The sequence below is a fragment of the Homo sapiens genome, chromosome 1, assembly GCF_000001405.40.
Source record: "Homo sapiens chromosome 1, GRCh38.p14 Primary Assembly".
NCBI classification, from domain to species: domain Eukaryota; kingdom Metazoa; phylum Chordata; class Mammalia; order Primates; family Hominidae; genus Homo; species Homo sapiens.
The window spans coordinates 100,520,278-100,542,395 of record NC_000001.11 but is presented as its reverse complement, the minus strand read 5'-3'; the positions used below and the strand labels follow the sequence as shown (position 1 = coordinate 100,542,395).

Here is a 22,118-nt window from a genome sequence, read left to right as displayed (position 1 = left end):
GGGGAAGTCATTCACAGCCATTTACAGTGAGAAACAGAGATAAAGTTCTAATTAAAAGAAGACCTTTTTGACAGAGACTTAGAAAAGCATCCCCCCTCCAGCCCCACCCCAAAAGGAAAATTCTCAGCTCTCTGTTGTTGTAACTTATTCCCCAACACTTACAGAAAGGAAATTTTACCTATTTCTCTTTGATGCTGGTATGTGGGCCTTATTTAATTATATAAAGTAGAAATAACTGTACAAACTAAAATTAGATAAAGCCAGCAAGAAGAAGTTACTTTCATCACTAGTGCTTTGGAATACCATATCCTCTGTTACAACGTTCTCAAGGAGGTATGCAAGGAAACCAGAGACAGAAGAAAAAAAACTCAGAATAGTTGTCTGAACTTTAATATTTGAATCAAGGAAAATGTGAACAGATGAAACTGTTAGTAAGAGAGAAATGGTGCATGCACAAAAGGGATAGATTAATAAAATGACAGCTGATTGTTGGTGATGAACATATTTGTTTTCCTTAACATGTCCCAACTTCCATAATTATTCAGATGTACAACAAGTGGTCCTAATGTCCTGGCTGAAATTGCCCAGGCGTGCAACAAAGCAAGCTGGTTTTGTTCCTGAATTATGCAGTTAACTGAGGCTGTTTGGGCCCAGATTTGATGTGGTAAGTAGTCAGAATGCTGACATATGATTATTAAAAATTATTAAAATTACTTTCTTCCCATTTTAATTTGATAAGGTGATTTCACACAATTTTGCATTTCAAATATTTCTAAGTAAATTTAGTAAACCAAAGATGAATATGACAAATCTCAAATAATATGTTTTAGAACACTTTCCCATTTGAACTGTTCACTATATATGACTGAGTTTATTATACCTCCTTCAACATATACGATATTGATGTTAAATGTCATGGTAATATATATGAACTACATAAAAACAGTGTTGCTTTCTAACGTGTGGCTTGTTTAAACCCTAAAAGAGCACAGCTGGCTTTGCTGAGCCAAACCATATTATTGATCCGTCTTGACTGTGATTCCACTTGTGAGATAAAGTCCCAACTGGGAGCTTTCTCATAAATTGGGTCAAGACAGGAAGAACTCTAGGTAGCCAGAGGTGTCTCTGTGTCTCTTTTCAAATAATTGAAGGCCATTTCTTCTGGTGTCTGGAAGAAGTAAAATATCCTTGTCTAACGGGTATTGCTTCAGTATACCACATGCCCAATAAGTTCTAGCATCTAGGAGCATGCAATAGCAGCTAATATTAGCTATGCAGTCATGGTATTATTAGTGTTTAATTATATCATGTGCATTGAGATATTTTAAATGTTAAAGAGAAAACAGAAGGACTTATTCTTCTTAGCAACCATTATAGTACAGAATGTTCAAAGCTGCAATCACATTCATAAGGCAAATAAATTGGTTACAAAATGAGGGTAGCAACAAGTGTGCATGCTATAGAAAATGTGAAACGGTACCTAAAATAGATAATCACCTTATTTGTTTTCAAAATTCCAGTGCTGGCTCTGACCATCAATTATCAAACTGGAAAATTTTCACTATAACACTCAACGCCAATTTTCAGTCTTAAGAGTGCGAAAAAAAAGGAGCATAAAATAATTTTTTTTCTCACTGGCTAAGATTCTACCTCATTTGAGAAAGACTTTATTAAAAACCCTTTTAAGAATAAAGGGCTTGAGGTCTTAATGGCAACTCATACTGGTGGGCACACCTAGGGCTTCACTGCCCCAGGGTAATATACAAAAACTAAATGGTAAGAGAAGCATCATCAAAGACAGGTTACTTTCTAAAATACTTTCTACATATTGTTTTCCTTCTTCAATGTTATTTCCTTTGGTTCATGCACACTCAAGGCGCTTCATATATAAGACGATGAAAGTGGAAAGGGTTATACATTATGAAAGCTCTTTTTCAAAAACAAACTGTGTGGAAATAAATTAACCGGTTATTTTAAAACGCCAGTTTGCAAGTTCTTCAAGTCTCTGGTGTTTTGACTTTAGGATTCCTCTAAAACACAGAAACAAAGGGTAAAAATCAGGTGGCCGTCCAAAATGACTTCGGGCGCCCCACTTAAAGAGACGCCTTGGTTCAGGTAGCCCGCTGGGGTCGAAGGCCCCATTTTCCCCCGATCTATCGGGCTTCGCGGCGGAAGTCTTCGTTCAGGCAGGGGATGCCCTAGGAGGGAAGGAGGCGACGGTGCCCAAGGACGTCGGAAGCCGGGGATCTCCGCTTCCCTCGGGCCCCGGCTAGGTTACCAGTGCTGGCCCGCGGCGCGGGTGCCCAGTTGCGCCTGGGACACTGCGGGCACGGCTGTGGCGGCAACGGCAGCGGCCGCCGCGTCGCCGACGCCCGGCAGGACTGAGCGCACGGAGCGGCGGAACTCCTCGTTCCTCCACGTGTAGAGCAGCGGATTGAGCGCGGACAGGGCGCAGCACAGGAGCCAGCTGGCCGCCTGCACTCCCCAGGGCACCGGCAGCGAGAAGCCGCTGGCCAGGCTCACCCACACCAGTGGCTGCGTGGCCAGCAGGAAGACGCAGCAGAGCAGCAGCACCGACAGGCCGCTGAGACGCCGCTGTGCCCGCCGCGGGTGCAGCGCGGGCGGCAGGGGCTGGGCCTGCGCCGGGTGCGCGGCGCCACCGGGGCCCGGCGCGTGCTGGGCGCCCGGGAAGGCGGCGGCGGCGGCGGCGCAGCCGGGCAACTGGTGCAGCAGGTGGAAGTTGAGCACGCTGACCCGCTTGACGCTGACACGCACGCGGCGCACGATGCCCAGGTAGCAGTGCAGCAGCAGAGCTGTCTGCGCCAGCAGCGCCGCGGCGGCCAGCAGCGCCGGGTAGTGGACTCGCGGTGGCGCGGCGCCGGGCCGCGGTGCCCAGGGCGGGAGCAGCAGCACGAGGCCCAGGGCGAGCGCCCAGGACAGCGCCAGCATGCCCGCCGTGTGGCGCCTCTGGTACAGCGCCTGGTAGGTGGCGGGCGCCCGGGTGATGAGCAGGTAGCGGTTCAGGGCCACGAGGCAGTGGGAGAGGAGGGACACCGTGAGTCCGAGGCCCAGCAGCCCACCCCGTAGCAGGCGGTAGCTGCCCCCAGCGCCGTCCCAGTCTGCGGGGGGCTCCGCAGAGCCGGTGGGCAGGAGCCCGAGCACCGCCTCCTGCGGCATCCAGAGGGCGCAGACGCTGAGGTCGGCGGCGCAGCCGTTCACGATGAAGGCGTTGCTGGTGGTCTGCAGCTTTCGGAAGGACGACACGAGATAGATGACCATGCCGTTGGCCAGCGTGCCCCCGATGGCCAGGCCCGAATACAGGAGTGACACCGGGATGCGCCGGCCCGCCCACGACTCCTCTTCCTCGCAGAGCAGCAGCAGCGAGCCACCGGTGGTGGAGGAGGTGGATGTGGAGGAGGAGTTGGTCATTCTGGCCAACTCTTCACACCTCCCTCGCTAGCGTCGGCTTCTGGCAGCGCGGTCCATCCTGACACTGTCCTGCCTGCCAGAAGGGCAAAGACATCCCTTCAGCCCTCTGCCACTGACACAAAAGGCTGAAGCAGAATAATGGGCTGGGGGAGGGGGAGAAAGGGAGCTCGAGGAGGAGGACGGGGGTGGCAGATGACAGGTGCCTGCCTCGGAAATGTCTCCAGAGCCAGGGGAAAGGCCACTTTGCATTGGATTCAGCAGGTATCGGGGAAGCCCTAGGACAGAGCAATACCTAAAACAGTCTCCTCTTCTCCCCCAACACACACACACACACACAGAGAGAGAGAGAGAGAGAGAGAGAGAGAGAGAGAGAGAGATATGTTGCCAGCTGGAGGACCTAGTTCCAGGAGAAAGCAGAGATATCCCAGCTGGGGAAAATCCCATGGGAAAGAGGTGAAGGTTACCTTGCGTTTAGGCTGGTCCTTAGCCGGTGTCTCAGGGGGAGGGATGCCGGGAAATACCTCCTCAGCAACAGCATCAGTGGTCCAGAAATCAACAGGAGAAACTCAGCTGGGATCAGTGCCAGGAGCAAGTGCCCGCTTCTCCCAAGCAGCATCCACACACATGGTCCTGGGCAGGAACTAGCAGCTGCAGGGAGACTTCTCAGCTGGTATCAGGGCTGGAGAAAGTAAAGTGGCGGGCTGCAAGCCCAGGCGGGTGGGCAGGCAGGCAGCAGCAGCAAGAATGCTTGGCTGCAAAAGCAGAAGCTGAGCTCAAGAGGAGAGCACCCTGTGCTCAGAAGCAGGAGTGGTGGCTGATGTGGTGAACCCACTCGAAGCTCTCTCCTGCTTAGTTATACATCATCCAGGGAAAAGACAGCCTTTCCACGCTTGGCATGAATTATTCAATAGCTTCCAACTTGTAAAAGGAAGAAAAATATCTTGCTCAGAAAGTCCTGTCGTTAACAAGTTTCTCTGTCTTTTCTCTCTCCCAATCACCTTATTTTTCATCCTGTTTCATTTTTCTTTCCGTCCTTTTTTTCCCTCCCTTCAATATTAGAATAAAATTTAATATACCCTAGAGTATTTCATCTCAGTCTGATGCATTTTGTGGGCAAGATTTTTCTGTGAGATAAATATATTCCCAGTACCCAGGACTGATCTCTTTATTCCCACATTTTTTAACGAGAATTACTTTATGCACTACTTGAAATTCATTTTTCTTTGGTAAAGTGGAACATAGACAATTATCCACAGAAAATCTCCATTCCTCAATTTAAATCGTACTTTCAGTGTTTTCTCATCAACAAACTCCTTTCCGGAGTTTGTTTTGTGTTTTAGTAATGAAATGGTTAGAGGGTAAAAATGAAATGGGCAAAAGATTTAAAGCAGATGTCAGTGGTACATCTAGACAATGGAATATTATTCAGTGCTAAAAAGAAATGAGCTGTCCAGCCATGAAAAGACATGAAGGAACCTTAAGTGTGTATCACTAAGTGACAGAAGCCAACTGGAAAGGACTACATACTGTATGCTACCAACTATGACATTCTTGAGAAGGCAAAACTATGGAGACAGTTAAAAAGACCAGTGGTTGCCCGAGTTAGGGGGAAAGGAGGAATGAATAGATGATCACGGAAGATTCTTAGGACAGTGGAACTACTCTGTATGATACCATAATAGTGGATCTGTGTACTTATAAATTTGCCCAAAGTGGCAGAATGTGAAACATCAGTGTAAGCCATGGACTTTGGGGAATGATGTGTCAACGTACATTCAATTGTAACAGACGAACCACTCTGGTGGGGGATTTTGATAATGGGAGAGGCTATGTATGCGAGGGGCAGGGAGTACATGGGAAATCTCTGTATCTTTCACTCAAATTTGCCATGAATCTAAAATTGCTCTAAAAAAATAAAGTCAATTTTAAAAAAATGTGTGTCAGGGGGAAAGCAAGAAACCTGAATAATCCACAGTGTGAACAAAGATGACTTTTCACTTCAGAACTTTTTGTCTTGTCTGTCTTGGAGATTTGCAGTCTGATGTTGGCATCTTCTTTGGTGCAAGTGTTCATTTATCCATTCCATGTGGGAATTTTTTCAGAAAAGGAGTTCTCTCAATTATTCACTGGAAAAGTCATGTATTTGAAAATGTAACTCAATATGGGAATATGGTAACATGGCATAATAGAAAAAAATGTTAGGTGGGGTTGCAGCACACCCAGATACTAAGCCGAGCATCCATCATGTAGCCTTGCGATGGATTATTTTCATCTTGTCAAATAAGTTCACAGTCAGTCACTTCAAAGGCCCTTTCTGTTAAAACTTTCTGTGAATCCCTATTCATGAATTTAGCATTTCTTCTCTCTAATTATGACACATGGCATATACCTCTTCTATCTAACATGCATTGCAGTTGTAGTTCTGGGTCATATGTCCCTAAGAGCAATGTTTCAGGAGAGAGGTCAAAACACAGCTTCTCTGCTTTTCTTTTTCTATTTCAAAATCAATATGGTTAGTTGATGACTTCAAGAACTCTGATGAGGATTAAGGATAAGCATGACTTGATAGATTTGGTCCAGCTAAGCTATATCTGAATGAAATTGGTTGGGGCAGGGGCAGGGGCCGGAGGGGGAAGTGAAAGAAAAGAACCAGTGACTTGCTATTCAGAGGGTTGAAGGTTTCGATATCAAGTTTACTGATGTAAATGAGATGAGTATTTGTCATCATCTTTTTGCCTATTGCCATTTGTCCTTATTGAGGTTTTGAGTGCATTAAGCACAGCAAGCCTGCATTTCTCCTTTCTAGTTATGACACATGGCGTATACCTCTTCTCTGTAACATGCATTGTAGTTCTGGCCCATATGTCCAGGAGTCTTTTCCACTCTGTCCCTAAGAGCAATGTTTCAGGAGAAAGGAGACTCTCCTAATCATTCATAGTTAAAACTTGCCATTGAAGTAAAGTTTTTTCTCTCACATTAACATAGTCCTAAAGGACTCTCTGATAGAATGTGGTGGGAGGGTATTCAAATTCTGGATCCCTGGTCCCAGCTGCCACTTTGTGTTGCCTTTGAGACGAGCAGCATTCCTGCTGAGGGACTCCAGTGCCTGGCAGTCACACACACTTCCTCCAAGACCATGCCTCCCTTAGCGCTGGCCTGACAGGGGCCAAATTTTTGTTTGTTTCTGGATTTGGTTTTCCTTTTGTTTTAAGTTAATGAACTTACATAATATAGGGTGGGAATTTTTTCTATCTTATTTCCAGCACCAGGTCAGTGCCTGGGACATAGTAGAAACTTAATCAATACTTACTGAATTAATAAGTGAATGGCAGTGTAAATGATTTCATTTATGTTTTCTCCACGGTGAAACAGTAATTCACTTTTATGAGCATCTCTTTCCTCCCACCTTCAGCAGGAACTTGCCCCATCAGTCATCTGCTTTCTGCTGTCTCTTGTCAGTCTCTCTGCTCTCCACTGCTTGCTCCCCTTCAGACTTACAAAAATGCTGATTTCACCACAACCTCATAAAACTCCCCTGGAACTTCACCTCCTTCTCATGGTGCCTACACACAGCTCACTTCCCCTTCCTGATGGAAGTGCTCATTTTCTCCTTCTACTTCTGATTTTACCATTGAATACCCACCCACACGGCCCTTAGCTCTCCCTGCTCCACAGAAACAGCTTTGGCCAAGGTTAACAGTAGCCTCTCAGTAGCAAATCGTGACTCCTAAATCCTTGCCCTCTACTTTGACTCTGTGAAGAACACCCTCCTCCTCAGTGCCATTTCCCTCCAGGTTTCCCTTTGCTTCTGTTCCTCTGTCTGCTCCCTTCCAGACTCAGTCTCTGGCTCCCCAGTGTCATGGCTCCTTTAAGATAGTGTTCCTGGCTTCTCTTCTTGGTTCTCTTCTCACCCTACTCTCTCTCCCTAATTGATCTCATCTGATTCCTGCCTTCCACTCTCGCCTATGGGTCACCCACAGATTCTTTCCCACCAAGCTTACTTCTTTCCAGAGTTGCAGACGTGTTGGAACTCTCCATTCGGCTGGCCTCTCTCCCTCCTCATCCCACTCATTCTCCTATGGTCACTGATTTGGTTAATAGTCCCCATTGTTACCCTAGTGTTTCTAATAATTCACTATCAAATATGGTGTTTGTTATAGTTTTCTGATATATTGTTTATAAGTTAGAGACATTTCTATCTATTTCTAGTATGACTTTTATATGAAGTGAATTTTTTTTTAGCTGTTGATGTAGTAGGTTACATTTGATATATTTTTAAAAGTTGAATCATCTTTGCATTCCTCTGATAAACCCTGTTTGGTTACAATATATTATCCTTTTAAAGATAGACTGTAGGATTCTATTTGGTAGTATTTTATTTAAGAGTTTTGCATCATAAGTAAAGCCCACTTGGTTTATTTTTCTTGTGCCATCTTGTCCTTTCTTAGTGTCAAGGTTAAGATAAAATTCCCCCCAGGAGTTATTTCACCACTGCTACATCCACATCCACATTCCAGCCCACAGAGATGGAGAAAGATGAAGGGAGGGCAGCCAGCTTCCTTTTTAAGATTTCAGGAGAATCATAAACATCATTATTTTCAATGCCGTCGAGTACATACCATATGTGCCAAGCCATGCTTTGAGTATTTTTTATCTGTTGTTACATTTATTCCTCATGCCAGGGTGACAAGGTACCCAGTCTCCCCCACCCCCCCCACCTAAATTTGCAGGGCAGAGCAGGTGTTCAAAAGGAAGTTTGCCTGCCAATGTCTAAATATTTTAAAATCATAAATCCAGCTATCAAACTATTAAATATGTTCTATTCTCCTAACTTAACAAATATACTTTCATGACAACTGGAGAGCCAGACTCAAATTTAGAATTCTGACCAGACACAATAGCTCACACCTATAATCCCAGCAATTTGCAAGGCAGAGGTGGGCAGATTGTTTGAGGCCAGAAGTTTGAGGCAAGCCTCAAACTGGGCAACATAGCCAGACCCTCGTCTCTACAAAAATTAAAACTTAGCCATTGTGGTGGTATGCACCTTTAGTCCCAGCTACTTGGGAGGATTGCTTGAACCCAGGTGTTCAAGGCTGCAGTGAGCTATGATTGCACTACTGCACTCCAGCCTGGGCTACGTAATGTGACCCTGTGTCTTAAAAAAAAAAATAGAATTCTCATCACACTCATGGGTTGTTCTGTGCTACCTGAATGTGACTTCTTTGGAGAGTGTGCCACTGGTCTGCAATTCACCCCCATCTCTCCCCACCCTCTGCTCTGTCATCACACGCCAGAGAGGCCTCATGTCTAATGTAGAACACTCTAGCCTGCCCAACTGAGTTCTACCCACACCACCGTCCCACAGCCACCCCTTGGCAACATCTCAGACCAAGGGTACTGGTAGGTATAGTCAGCCATCAGGACAAAGCCAGAAAGGTCCATGCAGACTTTGGAACCTGCTCATGGCTACTGGGCAGGGAATTCTAGGCCCTGCTACTGGATATAGTCTAGAAAGGGAATGAGCTCTAGGTGAACTTGTCCCTCAGGATCTATTCAATAGATGAGAAAACTGAGTCACAACAAGGTTAAATAACATGCCTAAGATCACACAGCTCAGAAGTAGCAGAACTGGGATTCAAATGCATGCTATTTGGCCCCATATACATCCACTATACAATACTGCCTCCCTTGGTAAAGTTCAATTTCCTGAACATGACTTAGCTGCTATAGATTACGCTGCTGTAACAAACTGATCCAAAACTACAGTGGTTCAAAAAAATAAATAACAGTTTATTTATCTGCCATGGGGGTAACTGAGCAGTCCGTGTAGAAAGCAGATCTACTCTACAAGATAATCTAGAAACCCAGGTGTCTCCTCTGTTGCCACTCCATCATCCCCTAGGGCACTAGTATTCAAAGTGTGGTCCCTGATCAGCAGCAGCGTCACTTGGGAATTTGTTAGAAATGGTCCCCACCCCCTGAATCGGAAATTCTGGAGATGGTATCCAGAGATCGGTGTTTTAACAAGCTCTCCAGGTGACTTTGATGCACACTGAGGTTTCCCCTGTCTACACGGCTGAAGTTATTTCACCACTACTACACCCACATTCCAGCCCACAGGAAAGGAGAAAGGCGAAGGGAGGGCAGCCAGCTTCCTTTTTACGAATGTGACCTGAAAATCTCAAACATCACTTCTGCACACATCTCCACAGCCAAAACTTTGGTCTCATGGCTGCTCCTTGCTGCAAAAGAAACTAGGAATGGATTGTCCAGCCAAAAGGCCACATGCCCCGCTAAAACTCCAGAGAGCAGGGAAAATGAGACTGGATACTGGGGCAGAGGGATGCAATTTGCAGGCTTATGACACAAAAGCCAAGTCCATTTTATCATTTGTTTTAAGCACAGTGCCTAGAGCCTACCAGCTTTGCAAGACCCCTTTAAAATGACTGCTATCTGGAAAAAAATTACTGGCTCTGAAATACAAAAGGAAAACTTTTAAAAAGGTAATATGTTATTAAATAGTCACCTGCAATTAAAGTCATCATTGTGTATAAATTACTTATGTGGAATTGGGGTGCATTTTAATATGTTTAATATATTGTATAATGGAGTCTCCAAAAGCATCCAGGTCTGCAGAAGCCTTGAAACAGCCCTGCATACGTTCCCACATGACCTCTCTGCCCCATCGCTCCCTCCTGTCACTCTGCTGCAGCCACTTGCCATCCCTGAGTGTGCCCCAGCCTCTCCTCTTTCCCATCCAAGCATCTTTGTTGACAGCATTGCTCGCCCCTTGGCTGCCTCTCTGCCCCTACACATGTGCTCCCACTTTTGCCCAGCTAGGTCCTACTCATCTTCCACGCCTGAGCTTAGACTTCACCTACAAAGGGAGTCTTTCTTGATCCCAGTGCTATGGTTTGAACATTTGTCCTCTCCAAAACTCATGTTGAAGCTTAATCCCCAATGCAGCAATATTGAGAGGTGCGGCCTTTAAGAGGTGATTGGGTTATGAAGGCTCTGCCCTCGTTAATGAATTAGTCCATTCGTGGATTCATGGATTAATGGGTTAATGGATGAATGAGTTATCATGGGAGGGGGGATCAGTGGCTTTATAAGAAGAGGAAGACAGACCTAAGCTAACATACTCAACCCCTTCACCACGTGATGGCCTGCACCACCTTAGGACTCTGCCGAGCGTCCCCACCGGCAGAAGGCCCTTGCCAGATGTAGCCCCTCCTTGACTTTGGACTTTGTCTCCATAACTGTAAGAAATAAATGTCTTTTCTTTATACATTATCCAGTTTTAGGTATTCTGTTGTTAGGAACAACAGAAAATAAACTAAAGTTGATGACCAGATTGCCTAGCCTGTGTGCCCCCAAAGCCCCTGAGTGTATCACTGCCGTGGTCTGACTTCTCCGGCATTGAGTATCCCCTCTCCAAGCGGTAAGCTAGTCAACGGTAAGGGGCCTAGACTCTCTTTTTGATTAGAGTACATGACATGTTGTAAATATTTAATCATGTGCTGACTGAATATGTCCCTTGGGAACCTTTATATGTGGGATCAAGATTTCAACCTCAATTATCTTTCTCAAGAGACACAACTCACATTAGTAGATCATGCCGCAGAGCATTGTATTTATTTTTCTAAAATACTTTAAAACCTTCATGTAACCACATCCTCCTGGTTTATGCTACCAGATTATTTTTAAACAGAGTGTTTGTTGAAAACACATCACAGAACCCCACACCTGATCCTGACAGGATCCAGTGTGGACTTTCCTGGTACTGAATTTCATGATCCACCAAAACATGATGTAGCAGCTGTCTCTCATACTTTGCGAAACCGAAGGGTATGTAGCAACAGTGAAAAAGTGCTCATTTCCTGTTGCCTTTCTCCCCTCTGTGCTGTTAGCCAAGCCACAGAGCAACCTCACTGAGCACAACACTGAGACTGTCTAAAATCCCATTTCCAACCCCAGCTGTATTTCTTCAGATCTTGGTCTCTCAGATATTACACAACTGAGAATTATGTTGATATGGGCCTCTTTCAACTCTATATTTTCCAAAAGAACAACATCTTTATGCTGTTTTATAGCCAGATTTGAGAGTAATTCAGCTGCACGTGAGCATTCACCATCACAAGAAACCATAGTGGTAGAGCTTTTTGAAATTATGAATTTATAGAATCATGAAGCTGCAATAACATAGTGTATTTCATCCTGAAATTCTTTGCCTGAGATATATGAAACCTTGTAATGATGGTTTTCAGCCTTCTCCTGCCCTACCAGACTTCAGAGGTTCGATAGCTTCACTCCAGCAGCAGCAGCTCACTATGGTAGTGATATCAGGGGACTACACTATACAGCAGTGGTTCTGAAATGGAGGTGATTTTTCCCCAAGCATACATTTGGCAATTTCTAGAGACATTTTTTGTTTTCAAAATTTGGATGAGGAGTGCTATTGGCATCTAATGGGTAGTAGCCAAAGAAGTTGCTGAGCATCTCACAATGTCCACACAGGACAGCACCCTCACAATAAAGAATTATCCAGGTCAAAATGGCAACAGTGCCAAGACTGAGAAACCCTGCCGTGGAAGTTAAAGGGTCAGGGTCAAATCCAGGCCCTGCTTGTTATTAGTCACGTGACCTGGGCAAGCTATTTCACTTTTACAGACCTCAGTTTTCTCATTTGTAAAATGGTGATAATGTCACCTACCTTGGAGGAGTCTTCGGCTTCCCAAAGTGGCCAGCGCTTACTCTGAGTGTGTTGCACTCTAAGTGTGTTGCACGTATTAGTGACAATGGTGATTCCTAACATGGGGCAAGGAGTGGAGGATAAAAAGTGACATGACTCCTCAACAAGGACAAATCTGAATTGGACAGGAGGCATATGAAACACAGATTCATATAAACCCCATTTTTCCCTTCAAAGAGCCACTGTCTGTCATATGAAGTTCACAAAAGCATTTTAAGGGAGCTGTGACCCTCCCAAATTTGGGTGCAAAAGTGTGTATTTGTGCATTTTTCTGGAGAAAAGATTGAATAGTTTTATTGGTTTCTCAAAGGAGTTTGTAATCTCAAAAAGATTAAGAATGATTGATATTGTATCTAAATACCTGTGTCCCTCAAAAATTCATATGTTAAAATCCTACCCCCTAAGGTGATGGTATTAGGAGATGGGAACCTTTGAGGGGTGATTAAGTCATGAGGGCAGAGCCCTCATTAATGGATTAGCGGCTTTATGAAAGAAACTCCAGAGAGCTAGATAGCCCCTTCTTCCATGTGAGGTCATAGCTAGAAGGTACTGTCTATGAACCACAAAACCCTCACTAGACACCAGATCTGCTGGTGCCTTAATTTTGAACTTCTCAGCCTCTGGGACTGTGAGAAAAAAAAAATCTGTTGCTTATAAGCTACCCAGTTTATGGTATTTTGCGATAGCACCCCAAACAGACTAAGGCATTATCTGATCTCATTTTATTGGAAAGAAAATTGAAACCCAAAGACAGTGAACTATTTACTCAAAGTCACACACAAAATGATGGAGTTAGGCCTTGTACCAGATGGTCCCACAACACTAAGACAGATGGCTCTATTGGAGTGGGCTAGGACATAGTTTCCCAAACACAATTCCTTTTTCTATCCTATTAATTTATAAATTTCTACATTGATCTTTTCTGAGTTAATTAAGCTGTGATCTTCAAATCTTCTCTACTTAAACAACTCGGGTTTTGTTTAGATCTGCAGGCTGGGTTCCAGAATCTGAATTTTAACAAGCTTTTTTGTCAAACAAGATTCTTTCCATGCTGGTATCTGAGAATCATTGAAGTGAAGGATATTTAGGCTGCTCTTGTTAGTTTTTGAGTGTTGATTTGTAAAGCTGCCAAGACATTTCTTTTCAGGATTACGTTTCCAGTTTTTCCAGGAAAACCAATTTGAGCTAAAATTACTTTGGCTTGGTCTCTGTCCAGAAGTGACTTTTTTTCCAGTAAGAAGTTTAGTATAGTCTATTTTTTGAATCTGCTTTAAAATATTTGTCTGATTGAGATAGGAACTAGATGAGGAGGGTTTTGTATTTTCAAGCATTTAGGAATTATTTCATGTAATTTAAGTGAGGACATCAAATTCATATTAAAGAGGGGTGTGTGTGTGTGTGTGTGTGTGTGTTCTCTCACATATAACACTGATGGGAAAAAAAGTTCATATGCTTTTAGGCAATTAGCCACAATTATCATCCTGCATTAGAGTTAAGCAGCATTGACAAAATCACAACATAACTAAGAAATATCTAAGATATTGTTCATGAAATTTTAAAGTCTAAATTATATTGATTAAGAAACAAGAAAACCAGGAGCTACCACCCTGTTTCTACGTCACTGAGGTCATCATTGATGGTGAAAAAAAATTACTTCTATTTGCTGTATCTCAGAAATAGCCTGTCTTCTCCCTGCTTCACAGCAAATTGGCACTCTCAATTTCCAGAAAACCCTTTCTCAGCTATAGTCCTTGAAAATTTTGAAATCCTTCTCTGGATACTGGGCACAACCTTCTGAGCCTCAGTGAAAGCAATGGCCAAATATGTGTTAGAAGCCTCTGCTGTGGAATTTCAGAGGTACAGTCATCACCCCATTTCTGCTGCTTATCAGACATCTCTTAGATATCCCTCAAACAGCATAAACCAAACTAAACTCCCTGTGCTTGCAGCTTGTTGGGGTGTGGAGTAGCAGTGATTCTCTGTGTGCTAAACACCCCTCATTTCATCCTAATCACCTCCACACCCCTCATGTGGTGGGAAGTCAGAGTGTGCGTATGCAGACCCAACTCCTCTGAGTAGAAGTTGCTCCTAAGGTTTAGGGTTCTTTCTCAGGTGGGAAAATGCAATATTTTGCACCATTCATTTGGCCATTACTCTGTACCACACTGTTTGCCAGTGCTGTCCTGGAATATCTCTGTCTTGCTATGCTACATGTATGGTAGATACTTGTCTTGTCTGCCCAGCAAACCCCTTCATCACATACTTTTTTTGAGTTAGAACCCCTATGGGTCAGAAAACTATTATCTTTCACTTGATTTCAAAGGGAGTTCCCTGTTCTCTTGTGAGCTCAGCCATTCAAACTCCCCACCCCACCCCAGCCACAATTTGTAGGTCCAGAGGTGATTATGAGTCCCTTCCCAGTGGTGTGGGTTCAGGGCTGACAGTCAGGCCAGTGTCCCTGGTGACTGAACCCTAAGTTGCAAAGATGTGGCCTCTGTTGGCATCCATGTTGTCATGAGATAGGATGTTCCTGCTAATTTGGAGCTCTTGGTTCCAGCTGTACCCGAGGCCCAGGCACTTACCATTTATTGGGTTCCATACACTTGTGCCTAAACCAGTTAATGTTGGGTTTCTCTCACAATCGAAAAACACCAGCGAATACATGATTATGCCATTTCCCCAAGTGGGTTGTGAGCTCCTTGAAGATATGGATGACGGCATGGGGAAGATACCTTCTCATCCTTGTCCCATTTATTTGTATTCCCCACAGTTCCTACTATCCCTTGAACAGGATATTAACTGATAGACGAGGGAGGACTATTTAGCCTATTATTTATCAACCTAAATCTCAATTTTTAAAAGCTATTCTGAATAATTAAAAATCTTATTGTCTAAAAGTTCCCCAGGGATAGGGGTGCAGGGAGGAATCCTAAAGAGACAATGTTAAATGGTTGGAAAGTTTGACTCCCCCTTCCCTTAAATGACATGAAAGTATTTAAGGTTGTAAAAGAAAAGAGAAGAAGAAGGGGGAGGAGGAGGAAGAAGAAGAAGAAAGAAGAAGGAGAAAAGGAAGAAGAAGAAGAACAAGAAGAAGAAGAAGAGCGAGAAGAAGAAGAAGAAGAGCAAGAAGAAGAAGAAGGAGGAGGAGGAGAAGAAGAAGAAGAAGAAGAAGAAGAAGAAGAAGAAGAAGAAGAAGAAGAAGAAGAAGAAGAAGAAGAAGAAGAAAAGAAGAAGGAGAAGAAGAAGAAAGTGAAACAAATAATTTGAGTCTCCTTTTCTCTGTATAGTGGTTCTTATTCCTACCGTGCATCAGGAATTACTCTGGAAGCTCTAAAAAAAAAATTAAAAATAAGTCTTAGGTCCCATGGCCCAAGTTCTGATTTAATTGGTCTGGAATAGAGCCTGGGCACCATTTTTTTTTCTCCAGAAAACTCTGGAATTTTTATTGTGACTATGGTGAATTTATAGATGTAAACGGAGAATACTGACATCTCGAGTTTCATTGGAAGTACCATAAATATGTTATCCCTTTCTATTTGTATAGATTTCTACAGCTTTATTGAGGAATGATTGATGTATAATAAAACTACATATATTTAATGTATAAGATTCAATTAGTTTGGACAGATGCTTATACCTGTGATACTATCACCACAATCAAGGTGATCAACATATCCATTATCTCCAAATGTTTCCTTGTGGAGGAAACACGCTTTTATTTTGGTAAGAGTACTTCATGTGAAAGCTACCTTCTTAACAAATTTTTAAGCTCACAGCACTGTATTGTTAACTACAGGCGCTAGGTTGTACAGCAGATATCCAGAATGTATCTGTCTTATAGATAACTGTAACTTTATAACAGGTGAACAGCTCTCTATTTCCTCCTTTGTTTTCCCGTCTGTGTTCCTCAGAAAACTGTGAACTTCAGCATAACGGTTTTAACTTTGTGTCTGTTGCTCCACAGTGGTCTTTCAATAAACGTTGCTGAATGAGGGACTGAATATCAATCCACAGTCAACTTTCCAATCTGTGTGGGTAAATATGAGTTCTTATATTTTATTCCCTTCCCACTGTGTCAATTTTTTCTGAACCAGCAATGTCCCCCACCAGAGGCAGTAGCCCGTTAAACCTCCCCGAATCTTTCCCAATACAGCTTGTTCGAAGTTCTGCTCCCCGTAGGAAGCTTTCCCAAACCAGAACTCTAGATGTAATGGCCAGAGCTCCACTCAAGAAAATGAATCTGCCGGGCGCGGTGGCTCACGCCTGTAATCCCAGCACTTTGGGAGGCCGAGGCGGGCGGATCACGAGGTCAGGAGATCGAGACCATCCTGGCTAACACGGTGAAACCCCGTCTCTACTAAAAATACAAAAAATTAGCCGGGCGTAGTGGCGGGCGCCTGTAGTCCCAGCTACTCGGGAGGCTGAGGCAGGAGAATGGCGTGAACCCGGGAGGCGGAGCTTACAGTGAGCCGAGATGGCGCCACTACACTCCAGCCTGGGCGACAGAGCGAGACTCCGTCTCAAAAAAAAAAAGAAAATGAATCTATGTAACCATTTCTGAAGAACTCAGATAAAATGTGAAAAGAAATACAAAGTGGAATTTTTAAAAAGGCCTAACCTATGCTTATTATGTTTCAGTTACGTGGGTTACAGCAATAAAAGGCATACAACCCTAATTAAGGATGTCACAGCTTAGTGAGAGAAAAAAAAATTATACTTTGCCAAACCCAGAGTGAGAAAGGCTTCCTGAAGAAGGTGGAAAGCAAGCTGACTACTGAAAGGATTGACTTTATGTGGCATGTGCAAATATGTAAGAAGGTGACTTAAAAGGTAAGAACAAATTTTTTAGAACTTGGTTTTTAAAAAATAAAACATAAAAAATAATTAAAAGTTTAAAACATTCCTAAGCAAGAGGGATACTTGTGCAGAGAAAGTTACAGATGCCCACAGACCTTCCACTTAGCCTAATCCCAAGAGTGAGATACCCTGGACTCCTCTTGTGAATCAAAATCCCCAGGCAGAAGAGTCTAAGGACATGACCTATGAGCAAGACATTTTGTCAGCTCAAAATGATCCCACTTAGATTGACGGCTTGGCATCTGTAGACTTGCAAAAGCTGTTAAGCCTTGGGGTAACTTTAATTATTCAATTACTGTAGGCCAAACAAGGTACTAAGTGCTACAAATCTGTAAGTAATCTATATGCTATCTTCTCATAGCCCTAAGATGTATCCATTTCTAGAAATGTTGTATCATTTTAATTTATATTTTTATCGTTTTAAGTGCATCATTTTAAAAGCCTCTGTTGCCTGCTTTTTTGCAATCTGTTTTTAGCTTTAATTTTTACTATCTTTAATTTTCTTTAAATTGCAGTATTTTAAAAACTGCATTAACTTACATTTTTATTTCTTTTACTTATAAATAACAGGGAGGTGGCATAGATACTGAGAGCAAAATTTTGAGACTAGTTTATCTCTTAAAGCAAATATGAGTTGGTGCATTTCTGCTACTCGTTTGGCCTGAAAGAGGTTGGAATATTGTAGACATCGGGTGGTAGCAGGTTTACTGTGGCCAGTAGAGTGTTTTATAAGGGGAAGCTGCACCACTTCCAAATTTATCCATTTGAAAACAAAACAGAAGCCAGAACTCTGGCCCATCTGGAACACTGGAGTCCCAAAACAGAGTTCCCGTCTCCTAGATCACAACTCTTCCCTCCACAAACAAGTTTTCTAAAAACACAGGTTTTGCGTCAACAGCCTGAGGGAAAACTGCACATTAATTTACATGGGCTTTAGTTACTACAAAATTAGTTGGCTGTGATCTAGGGTATACAGAAAAGTATCTAAAAATCAGGCCTGAGACTGTCTTGTGAATGGCTTGCTTGCAAGGTTGTCTTTGACTTGTGCCTGAGAACTTGACTGGTAAACGGTTCCCTTACACTGATATAAAACTTCTTCTGAATGATAAGTGTGGTTCATTGCACCTAGACTGTGTAAACAATATGGTTTATGTGGAATACCTGCTTTCCTTCTGGGCGCCTGGAATTTTGATCGTGCTCTTCCAAGGCTGCCCATGTGACCAGCCCCCAGTAGAAACCTAGGATGCTGAGTCTGTAACGAACTTCTTTGGTAGAAAATGTTTCACATTTGTCACACCTCCCTAATGGGGGAATTAAGTGTGTCCTGTGCGACTCCACTGGGAGAGGACTCGTGGAAGCTGGTGCTTGGCTTCCTCCAGATTTCACCCCATGTGCCTTTTCCCTTTGCTGATTTTGCTTTGTATTTTTTGACTGTAATAAATCTTTCCATTTAAATAAATCTTGGGTATAACTATACGTTGGGTCCTGTGAGCCCTTCTTAGCAAATTATCAAAACTGGGAATGCTCTTGGGGGCCCCCAATACACAGGGCTTTCCTGATTAGATAAATAATTAGATCCTGACTTAGTAACTGACTTTCATCTCTCCTCCAGACCAGATGAGTGAACTTTTCCTCTTTTGGTTTACCTTAAAAATTAACAATCCTAACTACTTGTCACTTAAACAGAAATCCTTAATTAAGGATAATTTGCCCCAACAGATTTGACTTTAAAATAGATCAAACTAAAGTCACAGTTTGTCAGCTTAGTAGATTTTCAAGGTTGCACTCAGCAGTCCCACTTCTTGTCATGACAGGGCAGCCATCTCAGGGCCAGCATCTCTGATTCACCCTCCAGAGCAATATGAGAGAAAGAGAACTCCGGGGCTGGTGCTCTATGGGGATGTGATACGAGACTGAGACCAGGGATTTTGCCACCAGTGTCTCTGCTAACAGATGTTAGCTGTATAGTTCGTGCAGTGTTGCCATCTGACGTGGTGCCCGGCCATTTAGTTGTTGGTCATTGAAGGCACCAAAATGGTAAAGTAAGCTACCAGCTGGGCCTCAAGCAGCAGGAAAAGTCTAGGATTGGTGGCTATGCTTGTGAAACTCATTGGTATGAAAAGTGGAGAAGGGAGAAAGAGGAAGTGAGTATTACACAAAACCTCAAATCAGAAAAAGCTAGGCCTCCCTTTCCAATCCTGCTGGTCACACTCAGCAGATGCAACATTACTTTACAACCCCAAGCTGCTTGAAAAGTTAACTGGTTACCTCTTTCCAGAGTTGATAAAACTGCCTGGAACATGCTTCTTGAAGTATGGTATCCAATTTATGTTTTTCCATTTAAAACAAAATATCTCTTTGCCTGTAAGGAACCTAGATTTTAAAAAATGGCTCCCTCTCCTCCATTGTTTTATTCATTTTTGGTTTTGTTTTTTACAAAGATCAGCTCCTTTCTTCTCAAGTCTGTGGGACCCCTGTGTCTTCCAAGTTTTATTTAACTTCCCAATACAAAAAGGCATATGTTATACTTACATTAGCTCTAGTAAAGCCCAGTTATATGGTAGGTTGGTAGGAGAGTAGTAGGTAGATAGATAGATGGATTCTTATAGTAATCTGATCTCTGGTTCCAATTTTGTCCTTCCACGTACTCGACATAATTATTTTTGGGGATCTGAATATCAAGACTGGCAATCTCACTTGGAGATAATCTTTTCTTCAAAACTGAGTAAAGTGAGTGCCAATGAAGAGTCCTGGAATTGACTAAAACTGTGTGTTTGGCATAAATATGCCCAGTCTGGAAAGAAAGGACAGATCTCCTGTGATGTCTGAGAGGCCTCTTTATCTCAGCTTCAAGTCTCAGTGTCAGTTGTCTTGAAATTCGATGTCCAAAGCCCCTATTTACTCTCCCTATGGTACATCTGCTTGGTTCTATGAAGCCACTTCAGATCCTTTTGGAAGACAGCCATAATATAAATAAAGAAAATACAGTTGGCCATCCATATCCATAGGTTCCACATCCATAGATTCAACCAACCAGGGATAAAAAATATTCAGGGAAAAAAAAATTGCATCTCTACTGTACTGAACATGTACAGACGTTTTTTGTCATTATTCCTTAAACAATATAATAACGATTTACATGGTATTACATTGTATTAGATATTATAAGTAATCTAGAGATGATTTAAAGTATACAGGAGGATGTGCATAGGTTTTATGCAAACACCACACCGTTATGTATAAGGGACATGAACATCCTCTGATTTTGGTATCCGCAGAGGTCCTGGAACTAATCCCCCATGGATATGGAGGGATGACTACATATTTGATAGATTACTACCCCCAAATCTTAAGTTTTAATGTAAATATTTGCAGGTAGAGTCATTTCTACAGTTATTACCATGCCCCATTCTTCACTTGGAGTACAACTTCTCAAAAATGCATGGTCAACTTGATTCAAACCAAAGCAGACACCGCAAGTGGTGATGTGATTTACTTTGATTTTGGTGGCGTGCAGGTTAAAACGAGGCATGCAGAGTGAGAAGTTCAGCTAATTTATGTTTGTCCACTTAAAACCTGTTCCAAATACATTTCGCATTAAAACTAGTCTTTTAATGTAAGTTTCTACTTGTACTTAGCAAAGAAAAGTTTAAAATTCTTGAGAAAAGCTATTTTTCTCCTTCTTGATATGATTATCATAATTCAATCCATAGAGAGGGAACTGGGTGGGAATATATTAACATTTCAATTCAGCTCAAAATAACTTAATACAATTATTTTCTACTTTCCATTATATGCCATAGTTGTCAACCCTATGCAACCTATGTGTAAATAAAGGAGTTTTCTGCTGTAAATTATATACTTCTGTAATTGGAATTGTCCCTAATTAATCTTCTGAGGAGACATACAGTGACCAAATTCTTGCTTTGCTAAGTGTTGCAAAGGGGACTCTGCCTTATGACTTTTGGAACGAGTACAGACTTCTTATATGACATGAAGCCCACGGAGTCCTGTTCAGCTTATATACTAACAACTGGTTTAATTAGACTCAACATATTAATGGTTTAACATGTCACTGAAGAAAGCATAGAAGTAAAAACAATTTTCAAAATACATTTGTGTATAGTTGGTAAATTCATGTTCCTGCTATATTTGAATCACATAGATAGTTTTCCCAGGTGTGTTTTGAGATTTATAAATCATTTTACATCTAAGGATAAAAAAGAAACAGGTAAACTCAATAGGTGAGAAATCTGCTGAAACCAGCTAATTGATTTGTTTTTTTTACTTTCTTTTTCATAAAAACCCAATCTGTACAAAAAAAGATTTCCTTCTGCCCTGTGAAACAGGTTCATTAATTCATAAGAAATCTCCTTCTTTAAGATGTGGTCCTATGAAAACCTTGGTACCCCAATTGTTTCATGCAGTGTTGTTAGGACAGCTATTTGCAGATCCCAATTCCAAATGTAAAACTACCTTCTCACCCACAAACTTTCCTTTGCATTCTAAAAAAAAAAAAAAAAAAAATTTAAGGAAAAAAAAACCTCAGAATCATCATAACCCAAAGAGATCCAGTTTACTATATAAAATATCTCCAATAAATAGTGTAGCTTCTTCCTCCCAAACTGACTTTTCAGGGCATAGATCCAACAGGTGTGAGGTTTCTTCTAACTGATTTCTATAATTTCTCATTTAGGAAAAATGGCATTCTTTTTCAAAAGGAACTGGTGATCAATCACACAATAGTCATCAGTAGTCATAAATGACTAAGCAGGACCCAAAACACTGATCAGGATCAGTATTTTATTGACAGTAAAAAAAATAAAGGGAAAGCAAGCAAGAACCTAACATTATATGATTTTTGTGAAATTCAAAGTATAAGGTTTCTGTGAGCTCACTGTCATGTATTTCAGGCAATGGCCACAACCTAGAAAGTCAATAAAAGCTAAACTAAAATCCAGAATAGAGATCTTGAAACACTCAAGGCACTGACCACACTGAACCAAAAATAAAATTATAAAGAGACTTCAGTACATTGATAACTCAAAAATTCAAATTATAAACACCAAAAAATAAG

The 22,118-nt window shown here is 42.3% G+C and overlaps 1 protein-coding gene across 1 annotated transcript, besides 4 other annotated features; it reads right to left on the bottom strand.

Moving 5' to 3' along the window:
• On the bottom strand, window positions 375-4,257 carry GPR88 (G protein-coupled receptor 88). Its single transcript, NM_022049.3, has 2 exons — window positions 3,894-4,257; window positions 375-3,502 (listed from the first exon to the last, which is right to left on the bottom strand). The coding sequence occupies exon 2, from the start codon at window positions 3,427-3,429 to the stop codon at window positions 2,275-2,277; it is 1,155 nt and encodes a 384-aa protein (NP_071332.2). The 5' UTR covers window positions 3,430-3,502; window positions 3,894-4,257; the 3' UTR covers window positions 375-2,274.
• Window positions 2,135-2,983: an enhancer, noted in NCBI's record as "H3K27ac-H3K4me1 hESC enhancer chr1:101004969-101005817 (GRCh37/hg19 assembly coordinates)". NCBI's record gives its function as "activates a minimal SCP1, AML or CMV promoter by ChIP-STARR-seq in naive H9 embryonic stem cells {active_cell/tissue: H9 hESC(naive)}" and the evidence as "EXISTENCE:reporter gene assay evidence [ECO:0000049][PMID:30033119]".
• Window positions 2,696-2,865: a silencer, noted in NCBI's record as "silent region_1121". NCBI's record gives its function as "represses an Ori minimal core promoter by ATAC-STARR-seq in GM12878 lymphoblastoid cells {active_cell/tissue: GM12878}" and the evidence as "EXISTENCE:reporter gene assay evidence [ECO:0000049][PMID:35858748]".
• Window positions 2,984-3,833: an enhancer, noted in NCBI's record as "H3K27ac-H3K4me1 hESC enhancer chr1:101004119-101004968 (GRCh37/hg19 assembly coordinates)". NCBI's record gives its function as "activates a minimal SCP1, AML or CMV promoter by ChIP-STARR-seq in naive H9 embryonic stem cells {active_cell/tissue: H9 hESC(naive)}" and the evidence as "EXISTENCE:reporter gene assay evidence [ECO:0000049][PMID:30033119]".
• Window positions 3,136-3,535: an enhancer, noted in NCBI's record as "active region_1384". NCBI's record gives its function as "activates an Ori minimal core promoter by ATAC-STARR-seq in GM12878 lymphoblastoid cells {active_cell/tissue: GM12878}" and the evidence as "EXISTENCE:reporter gene assay evidence [ECO:0000049][PMID:35858748]".